Raw genomic sequence first — 7,226 nt, forward strand, 5'->3', positions numbered from 1 at the left:
AGAATGAATGAATGAATGTTGAATGAAATGAGAGATGGAGGCAATTTTGCCAGAGAACTTTGGATTATAAAGAATTTCTAAAGGCTAATGTGATCAAGTTAAATTTTTCAGAAGAGTTGAGAGCTGAACTGAGGCTTCGATGATAGGATAGAGGCAGAGGAAGGAAGAGGACATTTTAGGCCACAGAATGTGCTAGAATAAGAAAGAGGCAATGAAAAACATTTTGGGCAACAGTGGATTAACCATCCCAGCTAATGTTCAGTTTTAAAGTCAGGCGGAGCAAAAGTCGAGGTTGGAAAGGAAGTTTGGGGTCAACCTGGGGAAAACTTGAAAAGCAAAACTGAAGAATATGAGCTTCCTCCCACAAGGGCAACTAAAAGTTATTAAGTGAGGGGATGAAGGATTAATTGGCCTAATGGTCTAAGAGTGACAGCATTTTCCAAACTGGAGTGGGGTGGGAAAGCCAGAAAGTGAGCAAGACCATTGTCATAGCCCAGAGAGAAACAAGGTTCTTGACTAAGATGCGGCAGTGGCAACTGTCACTAAGTGAATCTGTCAAGGAGCAGAAACAGCAATAGTAAGAAGAATGCTCCTGGCTAGGTGCGGTGGCTCACGCCTGTAATTCCAGCATTTTGGGAGCCCAAGGCGGGTGGATCACGAGGTCAGGAGTTCAAGACCAGCCTGGCCAACATGATGAAACCCTGTCTCTACTAAAAATAGAAAAAATTATCCCAGTAATCCCAGCTACTCGAGAGGCTGAGGCAGGAGAATAGTTTGAACCCAGGAGGCAGAGGTTACAGTGAGCTGAGATCATGCCCCACTGCACTCCAGCCTGGGTGACAGAGTGAGACTCCATCTCAAAAAAAAAAAAAAAAAAAAGAATGCTCCCTATTTCTACAGTATCTGTCAAAGCTTTTACCAAAATCTCTTCAATTCTTGTCAAACCTCAGTGAGGAGTGCACCAAGTGTGATTATCTGGATGTCTAGATCAGAACTGAGCCGGGAAAGTTACACTTCCTTGGTAGGTGGGAATGCGATAGTGGCAGGGGAGAGGAGGTTGTAGAAAGAGAAAATACAAGCACAGAACACAGCATTTGGAGATTCTACTTCCTCATAACTTTGCTCCCACCAGCAGCACATCTTCATTTGCTCAGCCCCTCCTTTGCATGAAAGGCAGGTAACCAGGAAGTCTATGTGATGTTTGAGTAAGTTTCATCATGCAGGATGTTTGCAATGAGTTTTATTTATGCAGGCATTAGTATATCAAGGGGTAAATAAGGCATCCTCTCCACTCCTAGGCGATCACAAGCAGCCCCCTCACAACTCCACGAAGAACGTAGTCCAGGCCTTAGCAGCCAAACGTGATCTAGGCCAAGAAATCATGGACATCAAGAACCACCCAAAGGAGATGCAGGTCACAGATACACTATTTGAGGTCTCCCTCTTTAAATCCTACAATGACAGTGAGTCAATTAGAAATTGAAAATCCCTAAGCATGTAACAAGCACAGACGGTTCCCTACTTACAACTGTTTGACCTATGACCTTTGATTTTTTGACTTTACAATGGTGTGAAAACAATACACATTCAGTAGAAACCGTACTTTGAGTGCCTATACGACCAATCTGTTTTTCACTTTCAATACAGTATTCAATAAACTACATGAGATATTTGATGCTTTAATACAAAATAGGCTTCTTGTTACATGATTTTGCCCCCATTGTAGGCTAATGCGCATTTCTGGGCACAGTTAAGGCAGACAAGGCTGAGCTATGATGTCAGTAGGTGTATTAAATGCATTTTCCACTTACAATATTTTTAACTTATGAGGGGTTTATGAGGATATAACCCCACTGTAAATTAAGAAGCATCTCTACCAACTTTATCCCAATTGTGATTTCAATCATGGAGTCAGACTGCTGGATCACACAGTGTAACTCTCGAAGCCATGGGAAAAGAAGCAGGAAAACCAACACCTTCTTCCTTTCCGGTTTCCATGACGTCACAATGGGCAGTGCCAGAAACCACTTTCATGCCACAAGAGTCCTCTACCTGACCAGCCGACTTGGGTATGAAATTAAAGTGGTAGGGACCCAGAGGCCAGAGAAAATATAGAAATGCATTTTGGGGCTTCCCAAATATAGTTCAAGACTAGTCCCTCGGGGCTTTCATTTTCCTTCTCCCTCAGTCTGTGCCTGGCCCTCAGCCCAACCCCAGGCACCCTGAATGGGTTTTTGGATGGTCTATATCTGGTTCTTCCTGCTGGTCTCCAAGCTGCTCATCTCCCAATTCAGAAACGCTTTGGGTGCTACATCTTATCACTTGAATGAAGCCGGGTGGTCTCAACCTCCCTAGGTTGATACTGATATCCCCTCAGTCACTGTGACTTGGAGACTAACATAGTTTACCACACCACTTCCTTATTTGGAGAGCTATCTTTATAAAAATGACTTTGCCAAGGTGATTACTGAACCAAAAGCAATATTATTTTGTTAAATTCTACACTTATGCTTAAGGTATTTATCAAATCTTTAAAATGGCTCACCCGTGCATGCCGTTATCACAATGTGAACAAAGATATATGAGTGAACAGCTCTTCCCAAAGCAAAATCTCTGCAAGCCACCAACTGCTGAATCCAGAGCACCTTGCAATGCCTATTCCATAGCATCCAACTCTTTTTAGGGAGAGTGAGGCAAGGAAGGCTTTAGAACTCACCACCCTCCTAGTCAATACAGTTGCTGATGGAAGCACAAATGTCCCTAAACTCTCTGGGTGTTCTACTAGTCCTGTGACCAGAAAAAGCCTCTTGCCCAAATTGCTTTTTCTAAACATCAAAGTAACAAAAGGGTGACCCAAGGTTACCCTAAACACATTCCTGCCCCCTTCAGATCTTATCTGTTGCCCTGTGGTCTCTGCTGCAGGAGGCCACCTCCTGGGTGGCCCTAGGCCCATTGCCACTCTTTTTCTACCCTGGGCGGTTCCAAACAAACTCAGGAAGCCTTAAACAAGAGGCAGATGGTGAGGAAGAGAAAGTCTGTAAGTAACACCTCTCTATTACATAATGCTAAGCTCACAACCTCCTAGAATCAGCCTTGAAAATACCTAATGGCCTTTCACTTCAGAGTAAACATGCACTTGAAATAGGCAAAGAGAGGATTATAATTATTTTATTTGATGACCAGTGTACAACCATGTTAGTAAATACCATATCAACATATTAGTAGTACATTACAGGTGGGGGTAGGACCATATATTAGTAAATTACAGGTTGGAATAGTAAATATACAGGTTGTAAATTACAGGTTGTTGATTCAATCAATACTCTTGTGACATCCAATACCCACCAAGCACTGAGCTAGGTCCCATAGGACACACTTTCTAACCTCACCTAGACCAGATCCCTGTGGAAGTCACTAGTGCTACTCACCCATATCCACTTCTCCCTTTTTCAGCACAAGAAATATTGAATTGTGATTAAATAGGGTCATATGCCCAGTTCTGGCCAAAGTGATGGAACTCACCTCTGGGTAGGATCACATAATTGCTAGAGCAAGACCCTGCAGCATTTCCTTCCCGATGCTGCAATGATCTTGCAAGCTCACATCAAGACCAAGACTCCATCAGTTTGAGTCCTTGAGTGACTACGATGAGCAGGGTCCACCTGCCAACCACACTGGATGCAGCATGGGAAGGAAAGAAACTGTATTTAGCTATGGAGACTTGGAGGTATTTGTTACTGCAGCATAACCTCACCTATCTTGCTGGTACGTCACTGTTTAAAAAAGAGAAAAATCTGCAAAAGCATCCCATCAATCTGTTTTCTAAATCAGATAATATGGAAAAGCAACATTTGTTTCAAAATTCAACTTCATCAGGAACTGAACACTACCTTGAAAAGCAGAGGGTGCTGACAGCATAGGTGGGTTCAAACAACTCTGAGGGAATTAGAAATGAAAACAGAATGACCCTCAACAATGTAAGGACCGAACTGTATGGAATTCAGCTAAAAAGACTACAATGAAAATGCCACCTTCTGACAACAGCAACAGCCATTTATGAAGCAGTGAGCTCCTCAATGAAAGAGGCATTAAAGTTGAGGCTGGATGACCATATTTTCTCTCCCCAGAAGTCCAATCCTACCTCTCTTGAGCTTCCATTGAAGTTAATTAGAATCAGGTCTTCCTATAGGGAGTTCAATTTTGTGTCTCCCCCTACACCCAACCCCAACCCCTTGAGTCCATTATCTATCACAGAGTCCATTATCTATCAGGTGCCAATAAACATCTGCTAAATGAATAAATGAGCATTGTAGAAAGGAAGCAGGCATTGGAGGCAGAGATCAGCCTAATAGCCTCTAGGGATCCTCCAGCCTAAAGCTAAACACATCTGAGGGTGGGGAGCCTCCTTCTTATATAAAAAAAATTAAGCATCAATGGACACTTTATTATGATTTATTACTGTACACAATTTAAAACCACAATGAAACCTAACACTGCACTGTGGCTATCTTTGTTCTTGGACGTGCATTTACATGGGCAGGCTACTGTTTTGCCATGTGGAATTTTGTGTGCGAAGTGTTTATTCTTTCTATTAAAAAAAAAACCACACCCTTGTTTCTATTGCATTATTACATTCCCTATTATCCCATCACATGTTTTTTCTTCTTGCAGCAACACAGTACACACCCTGTACTATTGCTGACATAAAAATTACTTGTCAAAAATACCTCTATCTTAGCACCACATTACTCATCTGATCTTTGCAAAGCACTGGCCTTTGTTTCACCTGGGACTAGATAACTCAACTGCTTTTACTAGTGACTCCTGAATGCTTGTAGTAGAAGGATAAATGCTAGTGTCACCTATGTTTTTAAAGTCACCTTCCAAAACAAAACTACATTGGAGGTGAATAATAAATCTTTCAAGTTTTTAACTTCATTTTTCAAGGGATTTGGAGGAAAATGGTGAAGAGAGAATCTGTCACAGATACCAAGGTGTTACTGCAATGTAAAAGAGAGTAGACCAGGAGCCTTTGGCCCTCAGCAATCTGTCTTCCTACAAGAAAAATCGAAAGCCCATTTCCATAACCATTCTTATTCCCTGCTACTAGTGTAGGATGCGCAGGACTCTGCCCTCTAGCAGAAAATGCTAATGCCGGAGTGTCCTGCTAAGTCTGAAGGTTACGTTTTTTCATTGCACTCTTATCAAGATAACCCCAGATCTGGCTAGGCTGACATCAAAACAGAACTATCCTTGGAAAGAAAAGAACAGGCCAGAGTTTTTGGAAAAGCCCCAATAACCTAAAGATAAAATCCAGAATGAGAGTCTACTGGTTCATGGCTATCTAAATGGAAACTTCACTCAAGCTGTTTTCTCTGTTCTCTTTCTGCTGCCCCCAACAGCCCTCCCTTCCACCTCCCAGTACTCACTGCTAGCATGTCTCTCTTAATATTGCAAACACTATTACAATGAAGGAACAGAAGAAAGACAGTATTTCATACGAAGGTCACTGCATTTGACCGGTGCTCAATTAGAGCACTGGGCAAAAGTACAATCAGCCTTCCAATGATACCTTTTCAACAAAGGATACCCCACCTCTAGACTGAAGCCTAAATCTATTACTACAGATAAGAAAGCAGGCATCTATGGAAACCTAACATTCAGATACAACTGCCTGTGTATGAATTATATCAAAATTCCCATGAAAGGAAACCAGGTGGGATTTCTACAATCCCAAATTCACCCTGCACCTACCTCCAATGGCTTCTTCAAAGGGAAGGTATAAAGTCATTTGCAATTTATTTCTTTGAACCAGGAGTTTTAGCAGCCCCCACACCTTCTCACAGATAGGAACGATGTTGATGCAGAAACCACCCAAACAGCCCTGTGCCAGCACTGTCGGCCCAAATGACCCAGAGACACCCAGGCGCTACCCAGATCGTGGGGGGTTACCTGTATCTGTCACCGAGTCTCTTTCACCCCTTCTGCGTGATGACATCAAGTGGAAATGGTACACGTTTAGGAGGCAAGAGGCTGACAGGCAGGAAACACAATTGAGACTGAGCTTTCTTCAGCCTGCAGTGAAATACATGCAGGAAGGGTTAGATACGCGCCGCGGAGAAGGAAATCCAAGCGCCCTCCTGGGCAGACGGGGCTGGAGCGGGTGCACTAGGGAGGTGGAGCAAGGCAGATGAGGTGTGGAGGGCTGGCGGCCGAGAAGGGGGCGTCACGGCTCCTAATTGTCTCTACAGGATAAATAACCACCTCCCCCCTCCTCCGCAGTCTCCCCCGCCCACGAGTTCCCCTCTGGTGGCAGAGCGCCTACTAGCAACAGTAAGCCCTAGGAAAGAAAGAAATCGGAGCAGGTGGGGAATAACATCTTGGGGCAAAGACACACTGGCAAAATCTACCAGGTAACCCGGTCATATGGGAATGCGGGGCGCCTAGTCAGCCGCGCAGACAGGCACACAGCGCGGCAATCCCGAGCATCTTTCTTTCGTTTGCCCCTGTCCGCCACCTCATCAAGTCACCGCCACCTCATCAAGTCACCGTCACCTCATCAAGTCACCGTCACTCTGCTTTGGCGATTTCTCTACTCTCTCCAGACCCAGGCAGCGCTCCCCAAGCCATGCCCCGACCCCAGGCGGGATTGGGGACCGCCGCTTCCCGAGCAGCGCCCCACGAGTCCAGCTGGCTTTGTCCTGCCGCTGTCCTTCCAGGAGCAAGCGCCCCAGGCGCGTGTGTCTGCACAAAAGACCCCCAACATCTGGCCCTTCACAGCGCTCTCTAATCCCGGGAGGGGCCCTGGGGCAACTTCTAGGGCTGGAGAAGGCGCGAGACAAGGGGACCGGGAGAAGATGAGCCGGGGTGTGTGCGGGCCGGGGGCGCAACTGGGGCGGGCGCGCGCGCACGTGCACACCCAGGGGCGCGCGCGGCGCGGGCACGAGGAAAGCTCCCTCGGACCGGAGCTCCAGGGGGCATCCGAGGACTCGGCCGAGCAGCCGACAGCGCCGCTCCCCGCCGCGGCCGCCCGCCCAACTCCGCCAGCTCTCAGGAGACACGCAACTCCCGGGACCACCTCCCCCGTGCCCCGCCAGACCCCGCGCTCCCCTCCCCGGGACCCTGCGGCCCCGCCACCCCCTCCGCGGTCCAGAAGATCTCCCCAGTTACAGCAGGCGGCAGCTGCCCTTTCCCGCTTCCACGGCTTCGGCGCGGCCGCCGTAGGG

The 7,226-nt window shown here is 46.3% G+C and overlaps 1 protein-coding gene across 7 annotated transcripts in view; it reads right to left on the bottom strand.

Moving 5' to 3' along the window:
• The window catches only part of RNF152 (ring finger protein 152), an 86,346-nt gene that overhangs the window by 78,776 nt on the left and 344 nt on the right, over positions 1-7,226 (bottom strand). For 5 of the 7 annotated variants that reach the window (XM_017025612.2, XM_005266650.4, XM_011525878.3 and 2 more), the window contains exon 2: positions 5,953-6,075. The exons of 1 other annotated variant lie outside the window; for it this stretch is intronic. The gene's annotated coding sequence lies outside the window, so the exon portion shown is untranslated. Of the gene's footprint in view, positions 1-5,952; positions 6,166-7,226 lie in introns of those variants that run through there. One more of the 7 variants, NM_173557.3, reaches the window with a different exon arrangement.

Source organism: Homo sapiens, chromosome 18, assembly GCF_000001405.40.
Source record: "Homo sapiens chromosome 18, GRCh38.p14 Primary Assembly".
Classification (NCBI taxonomy): Eukaryota; Metazoa; Chordata; class Mammalia; order Primates; family Hominidae; genus Homo; species Homo sapiens.